The sequence below is a fragment of the Homo sapiens genome, chromosome 16 (genome assembly GCF_000001405.40).
Source record: "Homo sapiens chromosome 16, GRCh38.p14 Primary Assembly".
NCBI lineage: Eukaryota > Metazoa > Chordata > Mammalia > Primates > Hominidae > Homo > Homo sapiens.
The window spans coordinates 1424401-1450855 of NC_000016.10; the positions used below are offsets into that span (position 1 = coordinate 1424401).

Genomic DNA, 26455 nt, shown 5'->3' on the forward strand with positions numbered 1-26455 from the left:
ACCCCCCCGTTTTTTGTTTGAGACAAAGTCTTGTTCAAAAGACCAGGCTGGAGTGCAGAGGCGCCGTCATAGCTCACTGCAGCCTCGACCTCCTGGGCTCCCACCATCCTCCCACCTCAGCCTCTCAAGTAGCTGGGACTACAGGTGGGTGCCGTCATGCCTGGGTAATTTTTTTTTTTTTTGAGATGGAGTCTTGCTCTGTTGCCCAGGCTGGAGTGCAGTGGCGCAATCTGGGCTCACTGCAAGCTCTGCCTCCTGGGTTCAAGTGATTCTTCCTGCCTCAGCCTCCCAAGTAGCTGGGATTACAGGCACCCACCACCATGCCCAGCTAATTTTTGTATTTTTAGCAGAGACAGGGTTTCACCATAGTGGCCAGGCTGGTCTCGACCTCCTGACCTCGTGATCCTCCCGCCTTGGCCTCCCAAAGTGCTGGGATTACAGGCGTGAGTCACTGTGCCAGGCCTAATTTTTTTTTTTTTTAAATTTAGAAAATAAGGCCAGGCATGGTGGTTCACACCTGTAATCACAGCACTTTGGGAGGCCAAGGTGGGCAGATCACCTGAGGTCAGGAGTTCAAGACCAGCCTGGCCAACATGGTGAAACCCCGTCTCTACTGAAAATACAAACATTCGCCAGGCGTGGTGGCGCATGCCTGTAGTCCCAGCTACTAGGGAGGCTGAGGTGGGAGAACTGCTTGAACACGGGAGGTGGAGGTTGCAGTGAGCCAAGATCGCACCACTGCACTCCAGCCTAAGCGACAGAGCAAGACACTGTCTCAGGAAAAAAAAAAAAAAAAAAAGAAAACATGTCATTTCTGTGTGTGTGTGTGTTTCCATCTTTTAAAAATTTATTTTATTTATCTTTTTTGCAATGGAGTCTCGCTCTTGTCACCCAGGCTGGAGTGCAGTGGTGCAATCTCAACTCACTGCAACCTCTGCTTCCCGGGTTCAAGTGATTCTCCCACCTCAGCCTCCCGAGTAGCTGGGATTGCTGGCACCCACCACCATGCCCGGCTAATTTTTTTATTTTTAGTAGAGACATAGTTTCACCATGTTGGCCAGGCTGGTCTCGAACTCCTGACCTCAAGTGACCTGCCTGCCTCAGCTTCCCAAAGTGCTGGGATTACAGGCATGAGCCACCACACCCAATACATCTTTTTATTTTTTATTTTTGCAATATGTCTATGTAACAAAAACGTGTCATTTCTTATGCCCAGAGTTTGAGAGGAATTCACATTCATTCCCGTAGAGAGGTTAGTTGGAAGCCTGGACGTGCCTCCAATGAATGGGGAAAGGTGAAGTGCTTCTTTCCTCTCAGGATGGCCCTGGAGCTAGAAGGCCTGCTCCTGACTTCCGGTGCAGGTCACCCCTCCTGTCGCCCGGGTGGTGGCGGGGACCTCGGCCCATCTGCTGCACTGTGTGTGGCCGGATGGCCCTGGACAAGCCCCTTCCCCTGAGCCAGAATCTGCTCGCCTCTGGAGCACCGGCTCCTGCACGTGCTTCCCAGCAGAAGAAGCGCCAGATCTGGGACCAGTTCTGTTCCCCCAGGAACTCTTGGCATCAAGGCCAGGAAGGGGGGCTGGAGGTGTCCTGAGCTCAGCAACACCTGGGCGGCCTGGCCCCAGACTGTGTTTGGGGCTGCTGTGTCAACAGAGGCACCTGTTTGCCCAGGTCCTCCTCAACGGGCCCTGCCCCACCTGTTCTACCCCAGAACCCCACCTGGAATCACTGCCAAACCAGTCCCCCTGTAGGGACCTGGGAGCACCCACTGTTGTGGGAGGAGGGGGCTCAAAGTGTGGTTGGGGAGGACTGGTCAGCCTCATCCTGGTGTGCAGCCCAGGGGGGCTTCCTGAAGGAGGTGGAAATCGAAGGGCCCTCTGGTTAGCCATGGAGCCTTTGGGTTGGGCTGGTGCACCTTCCTGGTTGTTGTGGTTTTGGGCAGTTGCGCACAAGCTGCCCCAGGACAGCAGAGTCAGGGGCAGAGCTGGAAGGTACAGGCAGGGGCTGAGGCTTCACTCGGGGGGCGGGCCAGCCTCTGAGGGGCCAGGCCACCAAGTTAATCTCAGTCTCAAACAGAAATGAGACACCTGGGAAGAGTGTGAAATGGGCATCCCCCGTCCCACTCAGCCCACTGTGAGGACTGGAAGACGCCACCCCGGGTTCAGCAGTGCCCCAAATTCACGTCCCCTCAGAACACAAGAACTTGACCTTGTCTGGAAACAGGGTCTTTGCCAATGTCATTAGTTAAGACGAGGCCCTTCTGGACCAGGGTGGGCCCTAAATCTAACGACACTTCTACTAACGACTAAATCTACTATCTCTTCTAACGACTAAATCTAATGTAACACTTTGGAGGAGCTGGGACTCCAGGCGTGAGCGCACCGCCGGCTCCCGTGGTGCCCATCTGCCCCCAGTGGCCATTGACTGGTGGGCGTTGACTCCCTCCCGCCCCCCGAATGCTGTGTGTCTGCTTGACCCCGGGTGGGAAAAGCCACAGCCGGATGTGCCGGGGCGCCTGTGTCCCCGGGGCCCTGCTCTCCTTGGTGAGTCCATGTGGAGCTGGCACTGGCCCTGCCCAGAAAGCTGCTGTCATCCTCCCCCTCCCCCAGGGACGTAAACCAACACCTCGGCCTTCATTATCTCAAAGCACACAGAGAAATTTCGTGGGAGGCCTAATGTCCCGCTAATGGGCGGCGGAGGCTGCAGCCCTCGTGTGCCTAATGGCGGGTGACTAGCCGCAGAGCCTCTTGAGAGCTGGCATATTGGAGCTATTGATTTTCTCCAGGAAGATCAATCTGGGGTCCGTGGGCACAGCAGGCATGCTGCACTCGGAAGGGCAGCGCCTTCCTCCCAGGCCTGAGGCCCCACAGCAAGGGTGGGAGCCGGCGGGGCTGTGGGCCGGGAGCTCGGTTGGGCCCGATGCTGCCCCCCGACGAGAGGCGCGCTGGCCGCAGATGCTGGAAGACGCCCGGGCCCAGCCCCACTGCCGGGGCCTCCTGTGCTCCTCGGCCTGGCCCCGGCCGCCCCCCCCACCCCAGGCAGGACACAGGCAGGCAGTGGTGTGGGACGTGCATTTCTCCACCATCCCAGATGCCCCAGAGGCTGCTGCCCCACCCAGCCTCACCAGAAACCGCAGTCACCTCCTCCTGAAGGCCTCCTGAGTCTCAGAACTCAGGGGTAGGGGGCTAATTAGCGAGGAGCTAATTCATCCACCCGTCCCCCAGGGGGTCCCCATATCCCACCCTCGCCCCTCCGGCCACCCCTGGGTTCCCCTTCGCTGCCTGCTTGGACCGGTGCAGTGGCACTGTCACCCCTGAGCCTCAGGCCAGCTCCCCGGGTGTCCATGACAGTCCCACACTGCTCTGCCCCAGCACCTCCTCCCAAATGCCTGTCTGCTCCGGTTTGCGCCCACTCTAGAATTTTCCATTCCAGACTAGGGTTTTCTCTGTGGTCTCCTGTCAGGCAGAGACGAGCATCCAGACAGCTCCGGGACAGGTGGGGTCACGGGCGGGGTCACAGGCAGGCCCCCAGCACCCGAGTCAGAGGACAGCGGGAAAACCCAGGGCCCTGGGGCGGGAGAAGCGTGCGGCCTTGCTGGGGAAGCAGGTCACCCCTCTGAGGCTTTCTCTCCAGGGGCGGGGGAAGCGCCGAGGTTCAGGCAGCCACGGCTCACCCCCCTCCAGCATCCAGAGGCTCCCGCGTCCCGGCTCCTGGCCGCTGCCTCCAGCTCCAAAGCCAGCAGCGTGGCCTCTTCCATCCTCTCAGCCTCCTGCCTCCCTCCAACAAGGATCCACCAGGTGACCGCCTGTCTCCAGGTCCTTCGCTTAGCCACGCCCGCCGTCCCTCAGCTGTGTCGGTGCTGGGGGTTCGGGCGCGGACGTCCTGGGGCCATCACAGGGCCGGTGTTTCCAGGCTGTCCGCTCCGCGGGAACCCCTTCCGCTTCCCGAGGGCAATGCCCGCCGAGCCCCCGCACACGCCTCCTTCACGAGGGGCTGGGTCTCATTTCCTCACCCTTGGCGTCCAGGACAGTGACCAGCACCGACGAGGCCGAGCTGAGGTCCACCTGCGCCCGAAGCCTGGGCTGGCCATTTCCTGCCGCCCGCGCCTTTCAGGACAGAACACAGGGGCCCAGAGGCCCTTCTGGGTCCTCCACTGGAGTTCCCTCGGGGCCCCGGCTGACCCCATCCCTGCTGAGACCCGCAAGATGGAGGCCTGCAGTGCCCAGACCCCAGGCCGGGTTGGCTCCCGCCCTTCCCTCCGCAGGCCCCGGCCATTCCACAGCATGCGGCAGAGGGCGCCGCAGCCACTGCCAGGAGCGGCAGAACCCCCACCCTCTGCAGGTCCGGCCCCGGGGTTCTGAGCCACGAGGGCGGGCGCACCCAGGGCCCCCGGCCGGAAGCTCCCCGGGTCGGGAGGGCCAGGGGCTGTATCTGGTCAGAGATGGGGGCCTAGGGCCCTGAACCCCAGGCAGCCGCAGGTCCTCAGCCACAGCTGGATCAGAGGGGAGCTGGTGAGGCTGGCAAAGCCCCCCACAGCCAGGGCCTGGCCAAGCATCCTCAGACCCTGGAGTCTCAGGGCGGCCCCCATGAAGCCAGGGACAGAGGCCCCTACATGGTTTGGACACTCAGGGCTGAATACGGCCAGATGCACCTCACCTGGGGCATGGGCTCCCTGGGCTGTGGGCTCCCTGGGCTATGGGGTCACCTGGCTGTGGGTCACTGGGCTATGGGGTCACCTGGCTGTGGGGTCGCTGGGCTGTGGGCTCACTGGGCTATGGGGTCACCTGGGCTGTGAGCTCACCGGGGCGTCGGCTCGGCTTCTGCCTGTGAAGGAGCAGTAAGGAGAAGCCGTAACTGGTGGCTGTGCCGATGCTGTCCCTGTCCCCACTCCCAGCAGCCTTTCCTGGGACCTGCAGGTGACCCCACCCCTCACCATGAGACCCATGTGGAGGCCGCCGGCCTGCCCTCTGCAGAATCTTACTCTTAAGTTTGAACTTTTCGTTTCCTGTCCCTTCCCTGGAAGCTGGGGGTCCTGACTGCAGCCCCGGACACTGGGTGATTGCATTGACTGCCTGAGGCCCCCTGGGATCTCCTGCCCTCCGGGTGCCCAAGAAATCAAGGCGGGGCCAGAGGTCCCCAGGTGCAGACAAGGGCTGGGCCTGTGTCCAAATCTCTGTGTGTTGGATGTCACTGGGTGAGAGGAGCTGGTCTCCCATCTGACTGGGGGACGCCTGGAGCGTAGGGGTGAGGACCGGGGTGGGGGGTAGCATCCAGAACCCTCCTGGCCCCTGGAAGGTGAAGGCCCAGGAGCTGGGGGCTCGGGACAGGGGGTGCTGGGGCCAGGCCAGGCTGGGGGCTGCTGTCCCGTCCTCAGAGCCAGAGTCCCTGGGAAGGACACTGTGGAGTCCTCCCAACCTGGGCCACTTGGGGCTGCTCTGGGGAGTACAGTGCCAAGCGGGGGCACACCTGGCGAATGCCAAGGTCAGGGACAGTCACATGCGGGTGGCGCCTGTGCGACCTGAGCCATGTCCCCACAATGCGTGTCTACCTTGAGTCTCCGAATGGGACCTCATTTGGAAACGGGCACCCTGCAAGTGTAACTGGTGAAGCTGAGGGCACACTGGGTGGGCGTTGGCCCTAAATTCAGGGACGGGGTCCCCCTAGGAGGGCAGAGGACACACACAGGGAAGACCCCGTGAGGACAGAGGCAGAGACTGGGGAGACGCAACCACGAGGCAAGGAGCCACTCCTGGAGGCCCTGGACCAGGACCTCTGGCCTCCTGACCTGTGTTCCAGGCTGCCTGAGTTGTGGTCATTGTCACAGCAGTCCAAGGAAGCTAACATGGCCCCCACAGTGGACCAGCTGGGGCCACCCAGGAAGAGCCAGGGAGTCGGTGGGAGCGGCAGAAGCCCTTGGGGACGCTTCTGGGGGAGGCTTTCCTGGGAGCAGTAGGTGAAGGGAGGGTTCCCAGCCCCCCATTTCCCACCCCAGGGGTGGCTGCAGCTGAGGAAGGAAGGCCCCTGGGAAGAAGCCTGGGGAAGAAGGGGGTTCCGCCATTAAGGATCAATTGCAAACACCTCTGAGCTCTGGGCAGGTGGGCGGCAGCAGCCCAGCAGGCGTCCTGGTAACCACTGGGCCAGTGGAGATGGTCATGGCTGTCCGGGAGGTCCCGATGGCCGAGGGAGCTGGGCAGGTGCTCCAGGAGCCCCACCTGCAGCCCACACACCGGGCCCTGGCTGGGGGTCCCTGGGACCTCGCTTCCTTCCCCTCCCCCTTCCCCAGGGTCCTCCTGCGGCCGGGAGTGCTGTTCACCCCGCTGGCTGCAGAGGCAGGATGTCCTCTAGAGAGGCCTACTCCAGAACTCAAAATAGCATGAAATTTAATTTTCCGCTTATTTGACAAGGCTGGGTCCGGGCCCCAGTCCACAGCAGAGATAAGGGTCCCGGGGCCCGGGGGCGAGCCAGCTGCGCCTGCACAAACACTCCACGGTCCCCAGGCAGGCCGCGTGCAGGTGAGGCGGGGGGCGTGCTCCCCCCTCGGGGCCCTGGTTGCCGGGCGCTAAAGCAAACGGGCTCTATTTGCCCAGTCTGCGATGACAATGCTGTCGCCAAATATTTGCCAGCCCCTGGCGGCTGCAGAGCGCGGCTATAAATGCTTGTGTCCGGGTGAAGGTCTGCCTGTGGAGCAAGAGCTGTCGGCCCCGGCCAGGTAGGAGCCAGGGCCTGGGGGAGGCAGACGCTGCTGGGGACACCACAGCACTGGGGATCTGGAGTCTGTGAGTCCTGCCCAGGGCTCTGTGGGGAGCACCCACCCCTGGGAGAGACCCCCAGACCACTGGGCAGGCCCAGGACTGGGCCGGCATTGGGGCAGACAGGCCGCCATGGGAGGGCACCTGCATCTGGGCTGTCCGTGAGCAGTCAGCCCCAAAGTCCAGCGCTCAGGACACTGGATGCCTCCTGCGAGGGGGACCCCAGTACTTCAGTGAGATCAGGACCACAGCTGGGCAGGCCAGGGTCGGGAGGCCTCGCAGTTCACCTCCCCGACAGCCAGCGGGGAAACATCCTGACCCCGAGGAAAGCCTGTCCCAGAGCCGTGGATGCTCCCCACAGTCCTGCCCGCTCCCCACAGCCCTTCCTACTCCCCGCAACACCCCTCCCTCCCTGAAGCCCTCCCCCATCCCCAAAGCCCTCCTCCCTCCCTCCGCCCTCCTGCCACAGGCTCCGGACAAGATGGGTTCAGGCTACCTGACCCCAGGGGCACCCACGTGTCCCCTCGAGGAGGGGCTGGGCAGCCCTTGTCTGTGTGGTGGGCACTACCTGGCAGCTGGCCCAGAGGAGAGCTGCACCCACCCCACAGTCCCCATCCAGATACCCTCCTGCCAGGCCCCTGACCCAGATACCTCACTTGAGTCGTCCTGGCCAGGTGCAGTGGCCCCTGGAGCCCACCCCTGCAGGGACCTCCCACCCCAGCCGCCTTCACCATCGTGGAGACTTCCTAGTTAGGACCACTGGGGTGCTGCCTCCCGCTCCCTTGGGACTGTGATGGCCGGAAGAACCCCACGGGGGCTGCACGGGCTCTGGGCTCAGTTACAGTGACGCCTCCACTTTGATCAAGAGCCATGGAGCCCCTGGTTCTGACCCACAGCAGCCCCAGCCCGGGACCCAGCTCCGGCTCAGCAGCGCCAGCACCCCTGCCCTGGCCTGCAGGGATCCCTGTTCCCCTGCCTGGCTTCTCGAGGTCCCTTCCCCAGGGCCTGCCCTCTCCTGCCCAGCGTCCTCCCCTCCCAAGTGACCACAATTCTAGTGTCCCCACAATGTCCCCATGTCCCCAACTGCCCCCCACGACAGGACCCCACTGCTCCCACCCAGTCACCATCCTGGGCCAGCCGTCCAGCAGGTCTCACAGCACCCCCTGGCCGGCCATCCCCCTCATGCCACGGCCATGCGGCCACAGTGCCCACCCCATCTCTCTCCATGCCTCACTCCTGTGGCAATCCGTGCCCTCGACAAGCACAACTGGGCACCCAGGAGCGGAGGAAGGTCTCTGCGGGAGGCCACAGATGTGTGAGATCCGAGGGCAGCAGTCGAGGGCGGCGGGGGCATGGCCAGGCCTGACAGGGAACCTGCCCCTCTGTCTCCCTCCCCAGCCAGCGCCTGCTGCCCCGGAGGCCCCAGAAGCGTGGGACGCGCGGAGATGGCCGCCGGTGTGATCCGGCCCCTGTGCGACTTCCAGCTGCCCCTGCTGCGCCACCACCCCTTCCTGCCCTCAGATCCGGAGCCCCCAGAGACTTCGGAGGAGGAAGAGGAGGAGGAGGAGGAGGAGGAGGAGGAGGAGGGCGAGGGCGAGGGGCTGGGGGGCTGCGGCCGGATCCTCCCGAGCTCAGGCCGGGCAGAGGCCACGGAGGAAGCAGCCCCCGAGGGTCCCGGCAGCCCCGAGACCCCGCTGCAGCTGCTACGCTTTTCAGAGCTCATCAGCGACGACATCCGGCGGTACTTTGGCCGCAAGGATAAGGGGCAGGACCCAGATGCCTGCGACGTCTACGCCGACAGCCGCCCACCCCGCAGCACTGCCCGGGAGCTCTACTATGCGGACCTGGTGCGCCTGGCCCGTGGCGGGTCCCTGGAGGACGAGGACACCCCGGAGCCCAGGGTACCCCAAGGGCAGGTGTGCAGGCCGGGCCTCAGCGGGGACAGGGCGCAGCCCCTGGGACCCCTGGCCGAGCTCTTCGACTACGGGCTGCAGCAGTACTGGGGGTCCAGGGCAGCGGCCGGCTGGAGCCTGACGCTGGAGCGGAAGTACGGCCACATCACCCCCATGGCCCAGAGGAAGCTGCCCCCATCCTTCTGGAAGGAGCCGACCCCTAGCCCCCTGGGCCTGCTGCACCCTGGCACGCCGGACTTCAGCGACCTGCTGGCCAGCTGGTCAACCGAGGCCTGTCCTGAGCTGCCCGGCAGGGGAACCCCAGCCCTGGAAGGGGCACGGCCAGCCGAGGCCTAGCGAAGCGCCGGGGTCAGAGCTAGCTGGCGGCAGCAGGGCCACCCCTAAGGCACTGGACTCTCCTCCCATCCTCCTGGGAAGAGCCTCCTCCGTCCCTCGCGGCCACCACAGGGCAAACCCAGAGGTCACCAGGGCTGGGCTGCAGTGGGAGCAGCAAGGGTGGTGCCCAGACCTGGCCATGCCCTGGCCTTCAGCCCCAGCAGAGCCCCTGGAGGGGCACAGGGGCCCCCAGAGCCCTGCCCACAGAAAAGGGAGGCTTGAGCTCAAGGGGCTCCACCCACCAGGGCCCCCAGGTGAGGCTGAGGGCCCAGCCCCAGAGATTCCAGGTGAGCAGCAAGGGGCGGTGGAGGACAGAGCCCCCCGAGCCAGCCCTCCCACTGCCTGCCCATCCCACCGAACCCCTAGGACTAAGCGGCCCGGAACCTGTGGCCCCTCCCCTGAGCCCCCGGCAGCAGACGGCAGGGCCGGCGACCGCGGGATGAGCGAGGGCTTTCTTGGAGAGGCAGGAAGAGGGGCCCACTGCCCGACCGAGAGAGCAAACAAGGGCCGTCTCCTCCCCAGATGCCGGAAGGCTCTTCCACTGCAGGGCTGCTGGGCTGGAGGGGCTCTGAGGCAGAGCCAGGGAGCCCGAGTCCAGGGGGCTTCCCCGGGTCCTCCTCACAACCCGGGCAGGGGCAGCTCACAGCGGGTCCTGGCGGGGGCAGGCCTAGGTGCTTCTGCGCAGGCCCTAGCCAAGCCCCTTCCACCCCGGGGGGCTCTGGCAGCCCTAGGGGGCCTGGCAGGGAAGGAGAGAGGCTGCTAAAGTGCCATGGAAAGCAACAGCCTGAAGCCGGGCTGGGTTTGGGCAGGACAGGAAGAGTCATGGGGGTCAAGAGACTGGGTCCCTCCAAGCTTGGGCACCCCCGCTGCCAGGGACCTCGCCACCCCGCTCAGCCCCACAGGCCCTGGGTAGGCTGTCTCCCAGCACACATCAGGGAACCTCAGCTCTAATGAGTACAAAGCCAGCACGTTTATTTCTGGATAAACAGTGAGGGTGTGAGCTGCTGCACCTGCTCCTGGCTGTGGGGCTTCTCCAGGACCCCTCCTGGCCTCCGCAGGGCCCTGAGCTTTATGAGGGACGCCTTCCAGCGCAGCCACCTGTCCAGAGATGCGGCACATGGCCCCTGCACCCCCGCCCCACCCCCCATGGCCCACCTGCTGCCTGTGGGCCCCCAGCCCTGAACCCCGGCCCAAAGGCCCAGGAGGCCGCGCCGGGATCCCTGCTGCCCACCTCACAGCCTGGTACACGCCCCAGCAGTTCATGGGCACCACCTTGCCAGGCGCCATGTCCTTGATGAAGACCCGCGGCCTCACCAGGGATGGGAGCGCCTTCCAGCTGCCCAGCGGCGTCCGCGGGCCCTCCTCACTCCACAGCCGGAGCACACTCTCCCACAGGGTGGCCATCTCCTGCGTGCGCTGTGGGACGGGGATGCTGGTGTCACCCAGGAGCCAGACCTCCGGGCAGGGGATGGCAAACGGGGGCTTATCTCCCACCGGGAGCCTGGAAGCCATTTATCTTCAGGGAAACCCTGCCCATGGCCAGACACTTGGACAGACAGACACTGGCGCCTGCAGCAGGGCAGGCGGGGAGGCGGCAGGGCTGAGGGAGCGGGTGGGAGCTGGGCGGTGCCGGCCGGGCAAGGCCTCCTCACCAGCCGGGCCTCAGTGTTGAACCTGAGGTTCTGGATGGTCTTGTTGGCCTGGACGCAGTTTTCCAGCTTCATTATTTGGTTCTGAAACTAAACATGGCCCCCATTTGGGCACAGACAGGGCCAGTCTGCTGGCATCCTGCTGTCCCCACAGGCACCCCGATATCCACTGTTGAGTGCTTACAGCTTGGGCAGGGGCCACCTGCTGAAATGCTGGTCCTCGTCCCCACTGCAGGGCCCAGGACAAGCTCCGCTGAGGAAGCGGCAGCCTGAGAGTGGCCCTGCGGGGACCTGGCCAGGGCTCAGGGTTGTTCCGGCCCTCGTGGCTGCGGACGGCACCCCGGTGTGGGGGCTCCAGGCAGGTGCCTCCACTTAGAACTGCCAGAGGCTGAGACAAGCTGGGGTGGCCCAGGGACAGCTGTTTTTGTTTTTGTTTTTGTTTTGTTTTGTTTTGTTTGAGATGGAGTTTCACTCTTGTTGCCCAGGTTAGAATGCAATGGCGCGATCTTGGCTCACCGCAACCTCCACCTTCCAGGTTCGAGTGATTCTCCTGCCTCAGCCTCCCGAGTAACTGGGACTACAGGCATGCGCCACCATGCCTGGCTAATTTTTGTATTTTTAGTAGAGACAGGGTTTCTCCATGTTGGTCAGGCGGGTCTCAAACTCCTGACCTCAGGTGATCCACCCGCCTCGGCCTCCCAAAGTGCTGGAATTATGGGTGTAAGCCACCCCGCCTGGCCTCCGACAGGTGGTTTTCTGAGCGTCTCCTGCTGGCTGGAAAATGCCCCGTAGGCTGGGGGTCCTGCCTCTCCGCACGGCTGCCCCGTCTGAACCTGATGGCTCCCCCTCTCTCCCAGCTGGGTGCGGGCAGCCCCAGGACTACCGTGGCCAGCTTGCCCTGCATCTCCGCGATCTTCCGCCCAGGGTTGTCTTCCTTTAGCAGCTGCACGGATGATAGTAGCGTGGCCAGCTCCTGCCGCAGGGCCCCAACCTTGAACTCCCTATGGGCACCAGAGGCCGAGGCTGGCTGTCGGGTGTGCTCGGGGGTAGGGCCAGGACCGGGGACAAAGGCCACTCCCACAGCCACCACAGGGTTAAGGAGGCTCGAGGGGGCTCAGCCCTGTCACCCCTCCAGTGGGGAAGGTGGGGGTCCCCAACGGGGGGTAGAGGGAGGGGCTGGAGGCGCCTCAGAGGCTGCACCAGGGTGGCAGGGTGAGCCCGGTGCTGGGCCAGGCCCGGGCTCAGGGGGAACAGGTCTGTCACGATACCAGGGGATTGTGGAGAGTAGCGTGGGGACCGGCCCAGCCCAGTAACGGTCAGCAGAGCCCCTGCCCCTCTCCCAGGGCCTGGAGGCTGTACCTGGCCTTGCCTTCGGCGGAAATCCTGAGGTCTGAGTCGCTCTTATGAAGCAGGCACTTGTCGGAGACACTCTCTATCTGAACACAGAGCCGGGAGCGGCGGGCAGCCCCAGGGCGCCATCTAGGACCAGCCTTGGCCTCGACCCACACAGGGAGAGGGAGGAGGGGAGAGGACAAGGTGCAGGGAGAAGGGTCCCACGCCACCTCCAAGGCCCAAGTACACCAAGGCTGGCTGTGCCTTCGCCCACCTGCTGGGGGAGGCCATCCACCTTCTCCCGCACCCCTCGCAGGTGTTCGGTCACCTCCTTCCGCCACCTGGCCAGGTCCTCCAGGGACTTCCTCTCTGCACCTTCCCATTCGGTCTTTGCCTGGGGTACAGATGCCCAGTGAGGGACAAAGCCAAGAGAGGGGGGACAGACAGATGGAAAGACGGACACGGGGAGCTCTGGGGAGCAGGCGGCCCCCACCCCCACTTCCAGCTCTGAGACATTTGTGCACAGGCCTGCAGGCGGCTGGGATGGCCTGGCCGGGCACGCTCTGGAGACACACATGCCAAGGCAGGGCCTGGGCAGCCGAGGGCCCGTGGGGGCTGTTCCGACCACACAGGTGCCCGAGGGAGGCAGGGCAGGCCCCGGTGGGACCCAGCCCCGAAACGCAGGGTGTCGCCCACGTTTGCAGCCGCGCTCGCGTGTCGGTGGATGAGCGGGAACCGGGGGGCGGCGCCTACGCAATGCACGTTACGCCGCGGTGGAAGGGGTGAAGCTCTGCGCACGAGGCCCCGAGGAGCGGGAAACGGGATGCCCGTGGGTGTCACCGCCACAGCGGCCGCACCGTGCGTGGCTCTGTTTCCTGGAAACGTCCAGAACAGGCAGCCCCCGAGACAGGGAGGGGCCCAGCGGTCGCCAGGGGAAGTGGGGATGGGAATGAGTGCGGATGGGGCTGAGGTTCTTCCTGAAGGATGAATGCTCTGAAACTGTGAATAGACACACGGAACTGTGCACGTTCACGGGTGAACCGTGTGGGGAGTGAATCCATCTCAACAGAGCTGTTACACAGTGAACAAGAGCACGAGGGGTGGAGGCCGCTTGTCTGCCCCGCCGTGAGCTGCCCGCATGGCCGGGCCGTGGGCCGAGGCTCCAGCTCGGGCCTCACGGGCTGCAGATGCTGGGCCGAGGCTGCTCAGCGGCTGTCCTGCCCCACACAGGAGTCTCTGGGGCTCGGGGTCTCCCAGGCCCTGGGGACAGTCGCTGGGTGGGACGGGAGGCTTGGGACCGGCCTGTCAGGCCTCTACCCTGGGGGCAGTGGTGGGCTGAGAGCTGGAGGGGTGGGGACTCCCCATAGCCCCGCCTGCCCCCGCCCGCTGCCTGGCGCACCTCGGACAGCCTGAGGCCCAGCATCTGCTCCTGCAGATCGAGCCGGCTGCTCAGAGCCGGGAGATGGCCACTCAGCTCCTTTAACTGCCCGGCCAGCTGCGCCACGGATGCCTCCAGAGCCCGGCTCTTCTCTCGGAGCTGCAGGGGACAGGTGGGCACGGGGAGGCCTGGCTGAGCGCCCATCCCGTGTGCGTGGGAGACCCCGTTGGGGACATGTTGCGCTACCCCCTCACCAGCACCAGCTCTCCATGCATCTCCTGCCGGGCCAGCTCGCCAGCCAGCTGTGCGGCCTCCAGGTTCTCCTGCACATAGGCGGCCAGCTCCCCAGCCCGGCTTTCCTCCAAGCGCCCCTTGGCGTCCCTAGGGGTTGGGGACACATAGACACCCTCAGTGGAGCCTGCCCACCTCTCAGCCCTGGGCCAGGGAGGGGAGCTTGGCTGCTGGCTCCAGAACCTCCCAGGAGACCCTGGGATCGGAAGATGGGGTGCGGTCACAGTGCCACCAACACGGGTTCACTCCCCATGGCCACCAAGATGGGCGTTCACTCCCCACGGCCACCAAGACAGGGGTTCCCTCCCCATGGCCACAGCTGAGTGCCCCAGGGAGGGCAGGCTGGGTGAGGGACAGGAGGCCCCACAGGAGGGAGGAGGGTTCGCACCATCCAGCTGCAGCCCTCGGGGTCGAGCACTCTGCTCGGGGGAGGCAAGGTCATTCCCTGCTGAGTCGGCCACTGCGGCCCCCTCCTGAGTGGGACATCAGGGGTCCCCCCGCCTGACAGCACCTGAGGCCCCAGGACACCCACCAGGCTTTCTCCTCGGCCAGTAGGACACGGTTCAGCGACGCCTGGTTCTGCTGCACAAACTTGGTCAGCTGGGCCACGGCAGCATCCAGGCCCTGGCACTGCTCCAGGAGGTGGCTCTCCTGCCAGGGGGTGGAGGCCGCCCTGAGACCTGCACCCCGGCCCCGGCCCCACCTGCCCGCCGCCCGCCCGGCCCCACCTCATGCTGCCCCTGCAGGGCCCGCAGGCGCTCCTCCATCAGCCCCCGAAGCTTCTCCCACCGGCTCTCCAGCTCGCCCCGCAGGCTGCCCTCCAGCTTCAGCCGTGAGCTCTCCGAGGCCTTCATTCTCTGTGGGGAGACCCCACTGTCAGCTGCAGGTCTGCGTCTGGGAAGGGGGGCAGGGCAGGCCAGCCGCGGGCAGGCTCCCACCTTCTCCAGGGCCAGGAAGCTCTTCTGCAGGAAGCCGCACAGCTTGGCCTCCCTCTTCAGGAAGCGCAGGCTCACCTCTTCGCCGAGCTTGGTCACCTGGGCCTGGGGCGGAGGCACATTGTCCCGTGTGCAGCCTCTGCTGGACACGCAGCCGGTCCCCCTCCTGCCCATGGTCTCCATCAGAGTTGGAGTCCCCTGCTGTCCCCAAGCCCTGAGCCCGGCTGAGCTGGGCCTGCCACACCCTCAGCCGGAAGAAAGCCACGGCGGGCAGGACCACTCTGTACCCAGACGACCAACCAGGCATGGGTTTGTGAAGCATGAGAAGGCCACGCTCAGGTGGGGTCCAGACACACTTGGCACCCACCACCGAGGCTGCCCAGGGAAGGCCCCCCAGCCGCCACCAGGCCCGGCAGGGAAGCAGGAGTGTCGTGCAGGTGTCCCCATGCACGGGGAGCCAGGTGGGCTGGGCAGAGCCTTGGGGCCTTGTCTCCACACCAACAGCTGCTTTCCTGCCGCCCTGAAGGGGAGGGGAGGGGGGAGGCGCAGCCGGCCCCATCCCTGCATCTCATACACGCAAAGGGTAGGCAGGCGGCACAGGCCCTTCATCAGCCACGGAGAGGCGCCTCCCGGGAAACTTCCCCTCCACCCAAGCCCCTGCTGGCCTCCTGCCCCCCAGGAGGTCACCTTAGAGTAGATATTTTTCTGTAAAAAGCCAGATGGTACATGTTCCCACCTCATGGGATCTCTGTTGTAACCCTCTCAGCATGGCGGTTACAGCCCCCACAGTAGACATTGACAACATGTAAAAAATGTTCCTGTGTGCCAATAAAACTTTATTTACAAAAACAAGCAGTGACTGGCGCAATGACTCACTCCCACTTTGGGAGGCCGAGGCTGGTGGATCACCTGAGGTCAGAGGTTCAAGACCAGCCTGGCCAACATGGTGAAACCCTGTCTCTACTAAAACTACAGAAAGTAGCCAGACATGGACAGCTGTCTGTAATCCCAGCTACTCTGGAGGCTGAGGCAGGAGAATCGCTTGAACCCAGGAGATGGAGGTTGCAGTGAGCTGAGATCATGCCACTGTAACTCCAGCCTGGGCGACAGAGCGAGACTGTCAGAAAAAAAAAAAAAAAAAAAAATGGCCGGGCGAGGTGGCTCACGCCTGAAATCCCAACACTTTGGGAGGCCGAGGTGGGCGGATCATGAGGTCAGGAGATCAAGACTATCCTGGCTAACACGGTGAAATCCTGTCTCTGCTAAAAATACAAAAAATTTAGCTGGGCATGGTGATGCGTGCCTGTAGTCCCAGCTCCTTGGGAGGCTGAGGTAGGAGAATGGTGTGAACCCGGGAGGTGGGGCTTGTAGTAAGCTGAGATCACGCCACTGCACTCCAGCCTGGGCAACAGAGCGAGACTCCATCTCAGAAAAGAAAAGAGAAGGGAAGAGAAGAGAAGAGAAGAGAACAGAAAAGAGAAGAGAAGAGAAGAGAAGAGAAAAAAGAAAAGAAAGGAAAAGAGAAAAGAAAAGAAAACTTTTTGGGAGGCTGAGGCAGGAGGATCACTTGAGCCCAGGAGTTTGAGACTGGCCTGGGCAACACAGTGAGACCCCGTCTCTACAAAACATCAAAAAATTAGCCAGGCGGGCTGGGCGCAGTGGCTCACGCCTGTAATCCCAGCACTTTGGGAGGCCGAGATGGGCAGATCACGAGGTCAGGAGATCGAGACCATCCTAGCTAACACAGTGAAACCCCATCTCTACTAAAAATACAAAAAAATTAGCCGGGCGTGGTGGTGGGCGCCTGTAGTCCCAGCTACTCGGGAAGCTGAGGCAGGAGAATGGTGTGAACGTGGGAGGCGGAGCTTGTAGTGAGCCGAGATCGTGCCACTGCACTCCAGCCCAGGCAACAGAGGGAGACTCCGTCTTAAAAAAAAAAAAAAAAAAATTAGCCAGGCATGGTGGCATGCGCCCGCAGTCACAGCTACTGGGAAGGCTAAGGCAAGAGGATCACTTGAGCCTGGGGGGTTGAGGCTGCAGTGAGCTGTGATGGCACCACCACGCTCCAGCCTGAACAACCAGGCAATACCCTGTCTCAAAACAAAAAACGAGTGTCGGCCTGGCTTTGCTGCCTCTGGCCCTAGAGAGCACTCAGACACCCGGACTCAGGGAAAGGCAGACGCCCTCATGAGCGGCAGCTCCCCCACACCTGGCACCTTGGGAATCCTCAGCCCAGCACCCCTGCCTGCTCCACACGGCCACTCAGTAACTTCCTGAAGGGCAGTGAGAGGGAGGCTGCCGGCTCCGGGCAGTGGAGCTATGTGGGTGGCAGCTGGGTGCCCCGGCAGTCCTGGCCCCTCACCCAGCGTACTGCCTGATGCGCACGGGAGCTGGCTGCAGTCCCCGGTCTCTATTTGTGGAGCTCAGACCCGGGCTGCTGAAATGTGCAGCTGCCCGTTCCCTCCCCACCCACAGCGGAGGCCCCTGCTGAGGCCACAGCAGGAGGGGGAGCCACTCCAGCCCCGTGGGTGGGACCCTGGCTTCTAGGAACTCGTGTCCTCGAGGAAGGTGAACTCCGCTTTGTGTGCAGGGAAAGGTGGAGCCCGAGAGTGGCCGTGGAAGGGGCTTCGGGGCTGCGATCTGTGGACCCGGGCAGGCGCTGGCTGTGTGGGGAGGGGTGGAGGCGGCAGGACACAGGCAGCTTCCTGGGACGAAGAGCGCCCAGATCTGCAGCTGCCGGCCCCACGTGGCAACTGAGCTTTTTTTTGAGATGAGGTCTCGCTGTGTTGCCCAGGCTGGTCTTGACTTCCCAGGCTCAAGCGATCCTCCCGCCTCGGCCTCCCAAAAGTGCTGGGATTTACAGGCGTGTGCCACTGCACGTGGCCTGAGCTTTTGTTTTTTTGTTTTGTTTTGTTTTTTGAAATGGAGTCTCACTCTGTCACCAGGCTGGAGTGGCGCGATCTCAGCTCACTGTGACCTCCTCCTGCTGGATTCAAGCAATCCTCCTGCCTCAGCCTCCTCAGTAGCTGAGGCTACAGGTGCCCGCCACCACACCTGGCTAGTTTTTTGTATTTTTAGTAGAGATGGGGTTTCACCATGTTGGCCAGGCTGGTCTTGAACTCCTGACCTTGTGATCTGCCCGCCTCAGCCTCCCAAAGTGCTGGGATTACAGGCGTGAGCCACCGTGCCCAAACAACCTGAACTTTTGAAATGGGGCATGTGCGGCTGAGGAATTGAGTTTTACATTGTCTACAACTATAGCTGATTTCAGTGGACACAGATACATGGTGAACGGCCGCTGTATCGGATGGCACAGGCCGAGAGGGTTAGGGTCTCCTCCTCGGCCCTCTGGGCGGCCCCCCTGAAGCCTGGGCCTGGTGGTACCTGCATTCTGGCCACCTCCAGGTCCACCCTCCGGCTGCTGTCCTCTTGGTTCTTCTGCAGGGCGCCGCAGGCCACCTCCCGGCCCTGCTCCTCCTGCTGCAGCAAGTCGGTCAGCTTGGCCAGTCTAGAGAAGTCGGCTGTGGTCACACCAGCCCAGCTGGCCGGAGGGCCCAGCAGGGTGAGGCTGACCCACAGGCTGGCCAGGCAGGAGGTGTACGACCCCCGCCCCCTGCCCCACCAGAAAACAGAGGAATGGGAAACACAGCACCGGTGGCAGGGAAGGGCTGCTGCGAGTCTCTTCCCCACAGAGGGTCCGCAGCGGGCCCAGGCTTCCCAGCACGCTTGGCACCGAGGGCGGTGCCCCGCCGGGTTACTGGGGACACACGGCAGGGGGACCCGTGTCTTGGCTCAGCCAGGGACTCTCAAATGACCCCACGCAAGCTCCGGAGCCAGCCACGGGCGGTGGGCGCCCACCTGAGGCCGGCCTCTTGCTCGGCGCCCCTTCTCTCCGCCTCCTGTTGCACCTGCCTCCTCCTGAGCCGGGTCAAGGCTTCCCGGACCTCCACCAGCCTGGGACACAACAAGCCATTCCCGAGAGGCCCAGGCGGGCTGAGCAGCCTCGGCGGGCTGGGGGTCTGGCCAAGGGGCCCCTGTGGCCACCTCCCATGGCTTTCCTGGGCCTCTGAAGGCCGCCCAGGCACGTACAAACCCGGCCTTTTCTAGCTGGACCTGGATGTGTATCCCCCACTCCAGCGACACCCAGCGGGAGATGTGGACCCCCCACCACACCTGCCGCTGCTTTCTCGCCACCACCTCCCCGCCCTGGGCCTGTGCCCCTAGGTGTGTGGGGGGTACCTTTTGTCCAGGGCCTGCATCTGGTTCTGGAGACCAGAGAACTGCGAGGAGGAAGAGGAGGCTGTGGGCTGGACCTAGGCCCGGGTCTGGCACCTGCCCCTGGAGTCCACCCAGCTCCGGCACCACTGGCCCCTGGGAGCTCTGGGCCTGGGCAGCAGGGGTGAGCTGGGCTCCAGGCCCAGAAGCAGCTGCCCCCAACACCCAGGAAAGGGGCAGCTCGACCTGTGGGTGGGGGAGCCGCTCACCTCCGGCGCCTCCTTTTCGGGGGCCTGGGCTGCCGGCCGCGCCTCCTGCTGCAACTGCCTCAGCTCTGAGCCCTGCAGCTGCACGCGGGCCCGCACCTGGAGCAGCTCCCGCAGCAGGCTCCGCGTGGCGCGCTCACAGCGCTGCTTGTGCTCCCGCAGGCAGGCCACCTCGGCCTGCAGCTCCACCACCCTGGCCGGGGCGAGAGTGGGCGAGTCTGGCGGTGCCCGCCGTGGAGGCGGAGGCGGCGGCGACGTGGTCCTCCCCCGCCAGCACCCCCTGCAGGGCTCACCACTGCTCCAGCTGGTTCCAGTGCTTGGCGGTGTCCTGCTCGGGGACAGAGGCCGTGGATGTCGGATGGCTGGACTCATACCTCTCCGAGAGCTCCTCCAGGCTCAAGGGCTCGGGGCTGGCCAGGCCTCCTGCCAGGAGGAGCCCCAGGTCTTCCAGGGTGACGGCTCTCAGCTGGGAAGGGGCCGATGCCCCTGAGGGTCCACTGTCAGCCAACTCTACAAGGAGGCATCTTGGGAGCTTGCCCCTTGGGGCCCGGCCCCCACTGGAGCTTACGGGAACAAGGCCCCAAACCCCCGCAGGACCCTCGCCCACCACCCAGAGCTCAACGCGTCTCCTTGGGTCACACAGGATCCAGACGGGCTTGGCTCAGACAAGTCCAGGGCCCTGCCTGAAGACACACAGCACTGGGCGGCAGGAACAAGCGAGCTGGAGGGAGCCCGGGGTCAGAAGCAGAGCGGTCCCCACCCTCACACCTGTGGCAAGCCCCTCCCTGGGCCCCGCTCCTCCGCTCTGGTCACCTGACATGGCTGCTGGGCTGCACCGGCCACCCTGCCCTCGGCTGTAGCTTGGGCCTTGGGGCCTCTGAGGTTGCCCAGAGCTGGGCACAGGCCAGGGGGGTCAGGAGCCAGAGGAAGTCCCGTGAGAGCTCTGGGCCTTGAGGGACGAGCTGCTGCCCTCGTCTGGCTGCCTTCTCAGGGTCCCCAGGGAGGCAGGTGTGGGGCAGCGGGGCCGTTCCAGAACCTTCCTTCTCTCCCCAGAACCTCACGGCTTCACAGCCCAACTGCCAATGGAACTCTAGCCCTCAGCTCTCCCACTCCCGCAGGGCCCCCCAACTGCCTGCTTCTGGATGGATCTGAGGGGCCCCACTCCCGAGAGGGCGCAGACACGTGTCCTCTGGCAAAGGGGACTTCTTCAGCTGCCGAGGGAGGGGAAGGAGGCCCTGACGAGGCCTGGGCACGCCGGGAGGGACGCTGGGAGCAGGGAGGCCGAGAGCCCCAGGACACCCCGGACACAGCCAGGCCCACGTCCGAGCGGAGCCCGAGGCCTGGGCAGCGCCATCGGGGTGAGGGGCACAGCCGGGCTCCACGGGAACCCATCTTGCTCAGCAGCCCCATTAAAAGGCAAGAAGCAGCGATGTGAATCCTAACCGCTGATTTTATTTAACCGAATATATCCAAAATATGATCACTTCCAGGTCCTCAGTACACAACCACCACGAGGGAAACCCAGACCTAGGTTTCCGGCGCCGACTCTGAGGCCCGGGAGTTTTCTTCTTGCGTCACCCCAGCGTGGGCACCCCGGCCCGCCCCCCTCCACCTGGAGCGCCTCTGCCTTGCCCCCAGACCCACCAGCCAGGAGCCAGAGGAGGGAGGCTGAGGGGCGGGGACGAGGAAGAGGATGTGGCTGGTGCCCTGGGTGGCCGCAGCCGCTGTCTTTCACGCCTTTCTCACTCCACACGGTGCCCCGACCCCAGGGTCCCGAAAGTCCCAGGCTGTTGGACGTGGTCTGGGTGGGGTGGGAGGGACGACGCTGGCAAAGGCGGGCTGAGAGGATTTCTTTATTTCGCGTTCAGACCCAACACACTCGGACACCTTGGGGCCCTGTGAGGGCTAAGCAGGGTGGTGGCGTCAGCTCCCGGGGAGGCCCCACTCCCTGGGGAGGAAATACACGGCAGGGGGCCGCACCCAGCCCCCCACGGAGGGACCCGTGTTGCTCTAACAGGGACACTGAAGTTGCCTCTGCCGCCCCGTGAGGGGCCTGTGGCGGCCCCAGACCCAGCCCAGCCAGGCCAGAGGAGCCTCCCAGGGGCCCTCAGGTGGTGAGGTGGGGGCTTCCCGGCCCCGGTGCCCACCGGCCCTTCTAGCTGCCTGTGCTGGGCCAGGTGTCCTCTGAGGCCGGCAGGAGTCTGGCCCCCGCTGCACCTGCGCTTGGTGGCTGGCAGGGGCGGGGTAGGGAGGTCACCCTCGAGGCCGGGGTCCCCATGTGCTAGGGGAAGACCTGCCTTCCCAGCCAGTGTCCACAGGGCAGCAATTCCACGCTCTGAGGCTCAGGGACCAAGGCAGGGCTGGGTGTGGGGCCCAGACTCCAAGCTCTGGGGGTTGGGGGACCAAGGCAGGGCTGGGCATGGGGCTCAGGGCCTTGGAGGTTTTTCTCAGCTCTCAACATCACAGCACAGGGCCCGTGAGTCACCCCAGTCCTCTGGGCCTGTGTACCCAAGCCGGATGCAGGCCGGGGAGTGCACGTGGGGCTCCTCTGTGGCGCCAGTGTGAAGCTGCTCTCCGGGGCGGTCGCAGCCTCCAAACCCTGGTGCTACGAGTCCGTGCCTCAGGCCCAGGGACCACAGGCCGTCTGCTCATGGCTGAAAATGAGGCCAAGCAGCTCCCAAGTCTCGAAGACTCCACTGGTGTGGAGGCAGAGGGGCCCTTCCAGGGCAGGGCAGCCCTCGGGGCAGCAGCAGGGGCAAGGGCTCTGTCTCACGCACACGGGCACAGGCACGCAGGTGCCGGCCCTGCCGCTGGCTCCCAAGAGGCCGATAGCCCGGTAGGGAGGTCACACACACACAGCTGATCCCTGGAGGTAAAGAAACCTAGACGAGGAGAGTGGAGGCTGGGCCTGCGCAAGGAGGCGCCAAGGGGGGAGACCACTGCCCACAACAGGGTCAGTCCCGCGAGAGGGTCAGTTCCGCGCCTGCCGCCTGCCCGCCCAGCTGCAGGGTGCTCGCCATTGCCACTGCTGGGGAGCATGGTTTGGGCCGAGAAACCAGTGACTCCGGGAGGAAATGCAGAAGGGCCGGGGTGCCAGCGCCAGTGCCCATTATGGGCAGGGCTGGGCCTCACGTCTGGGCCAGCGAGAGCTCCTCCAAGCCTCTCTTTCCCAGGCGGTACCTGGCGAGGTCCTTCCTGGTCACCAACCCGACAACCTGCAGGACAAGTCCAGGCCACAGTGACACACGGGTCGGCTCCCGCCTGCCTGTGGAGCTCCCTGCCTTGTGTGTGGCTGGGGCAGCACAGGCAGGGGGCCCTGGGGGCTTCAGCACAGCCCCCGAGCTGAGCACGGGGCTGGGGAGGGGTGCAGCCATGGGGCATGGGCCGACTCGGTGCTGGGTCCTGTGCTTCCGTGTCCCCTGCCGGGAGCTGAGAGTAAGCACGGGCAGGAGGCAGAGGGGAGCCCTGCACGGCATGCCTGCACCCCCACCGCCCCCGCTCACCTGATTGCGGTTGTCCACCACCACCAGGTGCCGCAGGCCCAGGGCCCGGAACAGCTTGAACACCCGTGGGAGCGACGCCTCCTGCAGCAGGGGCACAGCTGTCAGTGCCCGCCCACACAGCAGAGGCAGGCGGGACCCTCACCCAAGCTGGCTCCCTGCACCCCCCACCACGGCGTCCAGGCACGTCCTGAGCCCCCACGCCCGTCTGGCCAGCCCCCTCAGCCCCTTGACTTCAGCTCTAAAGCCTGCCAGGCCCTTCACAGGAGACAGAGTCACCGAGTCCTCTCCGCTGTGGCCCCCCCCGGCTGCCCCTCCCCGAGGCTCTGGACCCCACCCCCTGCTGTTCAGTCCCAGGCCCCACGCCCATGCCCATGCCCTGCACATGCCTGGGGCACCGTGTAGGGGGAGGGGTTCATGAACTCGGAGAGGTCCATGGTGCACTCCCGCTCGTCCTGGGACACGTGGATGGACTGGATGGGTGGGAAGCGCGGGTAGGCGTCTCGGAAGTCCTTCAGCCTCAGGCGCCGCTGTACCAGGCCCAGGTTGGACCGCTCCACAAACACCTGCGGGCGGCAGAGCCCTGTGTCAGGCACCCAGGCAGCACCCCCGGGGCCCCCACCCGCCCAATGGCCCGGAGCCTGGCACGCACCTTGTGCTTTAGGAGAACGATGAGCTGGGAGCGCAGGATCAGGCCCTGGAGCCGGGCAGGCTGCAAGACAGGCCCGCGGTCAGGGCCACGGGCCCGAGGGTGGGAGGCTGCGCTGGAATGCTGTGTCGGGCCCCGCTCTGACCCTGTTCCGGCCAGATTTCCCATCTGGGCATGGGCCCCGTGTCGGTGGCTACCTGCTCACACCAGCCTCGCCATGGCATCCCACACGCACAATGCCACGGGACCCAAGGATCGGCGACAGGGTAGCGGGGCCTGACCGCGCACAGCAGAGAGCCAAGGGCCCAGGGATGGTGGCTTTGCTGCAGGGCAGATGCAGCCCCACTGGGTCCCAATAAAAACCAACCTCCAAACACCCAGTGTCCACGTCTAAAAGACACACAGCAGTGGCCGAGCTGTGTGTCCTGTCAGGGCCTCCTGACAAAGTCACGGCCCCCAGTGCCACGGCTCTCAGCCCAGCCTGGGTGCCAACCCCAAGACCCTGCCAGGCCGCAGCCCCCCCCACCAGCCTCAGCGTCCACACAGCCCTCCATGGCTGCACACTCAGCTTCCGGCACTCCTGGAACTGCCAGTGCACCCAAACGTGCAGCTTCCCCATCCTGCAAACCTTGCCGTGTGCTTCCCACCAATGGACTCGACAGAGGTCACATAGGCAGGACCCTGTCTATGGGGTGCCCGGTACCTGGGTGTCATCGGCATGCTCCACCACGGGGAAGCCGTTGTGATTGGACGCCGTGTCGCTCAGCACGTCCACAATGACGCCGACCTTCTCACGCCGCCTCAGGCAGGTCACTGGTGTGCTCATCACCTCCCTGCCGGAGGAGCCCGGCCACACATGCCCGTCACACGCCACCAACTCCCACAGTTACCTCTGCGGGCTGGTGAGGTGTGAAGCCGCTGGACAGGAAACGCGGGGCTGCCTGGAGCCCGCAAGCCGTGCACCCTGCCCCTGTGCAACAAGAGGCCGCTGGACACCCTCCCCACCCACAGGTGTCCTGGGCGCTGTACCTGGCAGTGAGTGAGTGTGAGGTGACCGGGGCCTCCCAGTGCAGGAAGGGCACACTCTGCAGCTGAATGTGCATGTCGTACAGGCCCTGCGGGCGGGGCGGGAACACAGGGCTTGAGGAGTCCACACCCACCCCTGGAGCCCCGAGCCTACCCCTGGGAGCCCAGAGGCCGCCCCCAGAAACCCTGAGCCTACCCCCCGGGACCGGCTGTTTGGAGGCTCACAGGGGCCCCTCCCCTATGGCAGCACCCACGCTCTCAGGGTGAGGCTTCGAGGCCCTGGCGCACCTCAATGAAGACGTCGCCCACGATCTTGGCGGTCATGAGCACCAGCATGATGGGGAAGCCGTAGGTCACGTTGCTGGTGGCCTCCATCATGATGACGGTCAGGCTCAGTGTCATCCGCACAATCCCGCCTGCGGGAGCCATCATGAACCCCAGCACGTCCACCCTCCTGGCTCAGGGTCACGTGGCCACTGCCTTCTCTGCAGCACCCATCCCATCCACCTGCTCCCAGACCCTAGCCCCGCAAGGACAGCCATGGCCCCCTCCAGACCCCGTGGAGCTCCCCACCCATCGGGCAAGAGCTGGGACATACCCAGCTGGGCAGCAGCTCCCATCAGGGCGTATTTGCCGGGGTCCGCCCAGATCTGTGGGAGGTGACACGGAGGAGGTGTCAGTGTGGTGGCAGGCCCAAACCCACCAAGATACACAGACGGAGGAGGCCCTGCCCAGGCCCAGCAGCCCCACAGCCAGGAACAAACCTCGTGGCCGCGTACATACACACAGAACAACCTAGCACAGTACACCCTGCTGCGGAGGCTGCATCCTTGGCCTGAACCAGGCGCTCAGCACCCGAGCAACAGGGGAGTGGCAGGCATGGAGGATGCAGAGGGCACAGTCACCACGCAGCAGCCCAGGCCAACTAGGGAGCACCGTCCAGCATGAGGAGTGAAACCCCGGCACACACGACACAGAGAGCCCCGGGAACATCAGGCTGGGCCACAGAACCCAGGCATGGAGGCTGCAGAAAGCGGGGCACGAGGGTCGGTGGGCACAGGGTTTCCATTCTGGGATGACGGAACATTCTAGAAGTGGTAGTGACGGCCGCACTGCCTCGTGAACGTGAGAAACGCCGCTGAACTGCCCTCTTTAAAACGATGAGTTTTACGGTATTTGAATCATGTTTCAATTTTAAAAACCAAACCAAACCCTTGTGCGGAGGGAGATGGGCAGAGCACACGGGCCTGGGGAGCAGGAGTGGGCGCTTCCTGCCGGGGATGAGAAGCATGGCCGGGGGCTTCCTGCCAGGGCCTCTTACAGGTTTTCAGTCTTATTTAAGCGACTGAAATGAGAAACAGAAGACACATAAGAGAACCCAGTCCCAGCAGAGGCAGGCAGAGAAGGAAGGCCTGCGGGGGCTGAGGTCTGGAGGGCAGTGTATGCCGCTCTGGCCCCCGGCCTCACAGAGAGCAGCCCTGGCCGGACATCCACCCCATGGAGTCTAGAAACAGCTCTGCAGCAGCCCACAATCACCTCTGCTTTTCATCACATTCTCAAGAATAAGGACACGAGCCTCCGCCCCCTACCTTCGCCTGGTCCAGACTCCACACATGGGCTGCGCTGCCACAGTACACGCTGCCACCACAGCAGGACAACGCCCACGGCCCGTGAACCACGCGAGGACAACGCCCACGGCCCGTGAACCACGTGAGGTGCGACACTTTTGTCCTGCCCTGGGACTTCTGCTCCGGCCCGCGATGCCGCAAGACCTGGCTCAGCTGCAGGGCCCCACAGCCTCCCCTCCGGCCCCACTCACCGCCGCCCCCGTGAGGTAGGACAGGGAGATCCCAAAGAGCCGGCCCCAGGCAGCCCCGATGAGCAGGGACGGGATGAAGACCCCGGCAGACACCGTGAGCCCGTAGGTCCAGCAGGCCAGGAAGAAGTAGACCAGCGTGAACAGGCCGAGGGTCAGGGGGTTGTAGGAGCCTAGGAGAGAAGAGGGGCTGACGGGGCCTCCACGACTCCCGCCTCCGCAGGACTGCCCTGCCCCGCTGCCCAGTCTCGGGCCTCACAGTCACCTTCCAGGAGCCCAGCAACCTGAGCTCCCGAGCCCAGCGGTCCCCAGAAGGCTCCCTGTTCTCAGCCTCCCTGGGAAGCAGAAAGGCTAAAAGGATC

At 64.5% G+C, this 26455-nt stretch overlaps 3 protein-coding genes and 1 long non-coding RNA gene across 6 annotated transcripts in view, besides 3 other annotated features; 1 reads left to right on the plus strand and 3 right to left on the minus strand.

Moving 5' to 3' along the window:
• Window positions 1–1150: 1150 nt before the first annotated feature.
• LOC105371044 (uncharacterized) lies at window positions 1151–4359 on the minus strand. The gene is made up of 2 exons (XR_932996.3): window positions 4012–4359; window positions 1151–3881 (listed from the first exon to the last, which is right to left on the minus strand). It is a non-coding gene; the product is annotated as an uncharacterized LOC105371044 (long non-coding RNA).
• Window positions 4282–4441: a silencer, noted in NCBI's record as "silent region_6984". NCBI's record gives its function as "represses an Ori minimal core promoter by ATAC-STARR-seq in GM12878 lymphoblastoid cells {active_cell/tissue: GM12878}" and the evidence as "EXISTENCE:reporter gene assay evidence [ECO:0000049][PMID:35858748]".
• Window positions 4472–4521: a silencer, noted in NCBI's record as "silent region_6985". NCBI's record gives its function as "represses an Ori minimal core promoter by ATAC-STARR-seq in GM12878 lymphoblastoid cells {active_cell/tissue: GM12878}" and the evidence as "EXISTENCE:reporter gene assay evidence [ECO:0000049][PMID:35858748]".
• Window positions 5474–6591: an enhancer, noted in NCBI's record as "ICR fragment uses in the reporter transgene". NCBI's record gives its function as "activates a minimal Hsp68 promoter in the stomach, pancreas and duodenum of E11.5-E14.5 transgenic mice" and the evidence as "EXISTENCE:transgenic organism evidence [ECO:0001131][PMID:31217582]".
• Window positions 6678–10041, plus strand: PERCC1 (proline and glutamate rich with coiled coil 1). The gene is made up of 2 exons (NM_001365310.2): window positions 6678–6708; window positions 8147–10041. Exon 2 carries the CDS (start codon window positions 8194–8196, stop codon window positions 8995–8997), a length of 804 nt encoding a protein of 267 aa, NP_001352239.1. The 5' UTR covers window positions 6678–6708; window positions 8147–8193; the 3' UTR covers window positions 8998–10041.
• CCDC154 (coiled-coil domain containing 154) lies at window positions 9983–20156 on the minus strand. Its single transcript, NM_001143980.3, has 17 exons — window positions 19916–20156; window positions 19396–19612; window positions 19106–19295; window positions 18861–18901; window positions 18480–18575; window positions 18006–18129; window positions 14625–14726; window positions 14415–14543; window positions 14219–14337; window positions 13650–13776; window positions 13417–13554; window positions 12292–12411; window positions 12045–12121; window positions 11569–11686; window positions 10689–10775; window positions 10268–10452; window positions 9983–10134 (listed from the first exon to the last, which is right to left on the minus strand). Exons 1-17 carry the CDS (start codon window positions 19920–19922, stop codon window positions 10008–10010), a joined length of 2004 nt encoding a protein of 667 aa, NP_001137452.1. The 5' UTR covers window positions 19923–20156; the 3' UTR covers window positions 9983–10007.
• CLCN7 (chloride voltage-gated channel 7) overlaps window positions 20535–26455 on the minus strand; it is a 30094-nt gene continuing 24173 nt past the window's right edge. For all 3 annotated transcript variants that reach the window (NM_001114331.3, NM_001287.6, XM_011522354.2), the window contains 9 exons: window positions 26097–26266; window positions 24876–24927; window positions 24566–24693; window positions 24281–24366; window positions 23955–24084; window positions 23255–23314; window positions 22992–23168; window positions 22606–22686; window positions 20535–22317 (listed from right to left, as the gene is read on the minus strand). In NM_001114331.3, coding sequence (NP_001107803.1) covers window positions 22231–22317; window positions 22606–22686; window positions 22992–23168; window positions 23255–23314; window positions 23955–24084; window positions 24281–24366; window positions 24566–24693; window positions 24876–24927; window positions 26097–26266 — 971 coding nt within the window. In that variant the 3' untranslated portion in view covers window positions 20535–22230. The remainder of the gene's footprint in view (window positions 22318–22605; window positions 22687–22991; window positions 23169–23254; window positions 23315–23954; window positions 24085–24280; window positions 24367–24565; window positions 24694–24875; window positions 24928–26096; window positions 26267–26455) is intronic.

What these genes read in the sequence shown, in the direction of transcription:
- PERCC1 (NM_001365310.2), top strand. Translation starts at nt 8,194, where the DNA reads ATGGCCGCCGGTGTGATCCGGCCCCTGTGCGACTTCCAGCTGCCCCTG.
- CCDC154 (NM_001143980.3), bottom strand. An exon ending in CTGGCCGAGGAGAAAGCCTG is followed by an intron (nt 13,777 to 14,218) that starts GTGGGTGTCCTG and finishes CCCAACCCCTAG; the next exon opens with GGACGCCAAGGGGCGCTTGG. An exon ending in TGGATGGCCTCCCCCAGCAG is followed by an intron (nt 12,122 to 12,291) that starts GTGGGCGAAGGC and finishes CTCTGTGTTCAG; the next exon opens with ATAGAGAGTGTCTCCGACAA.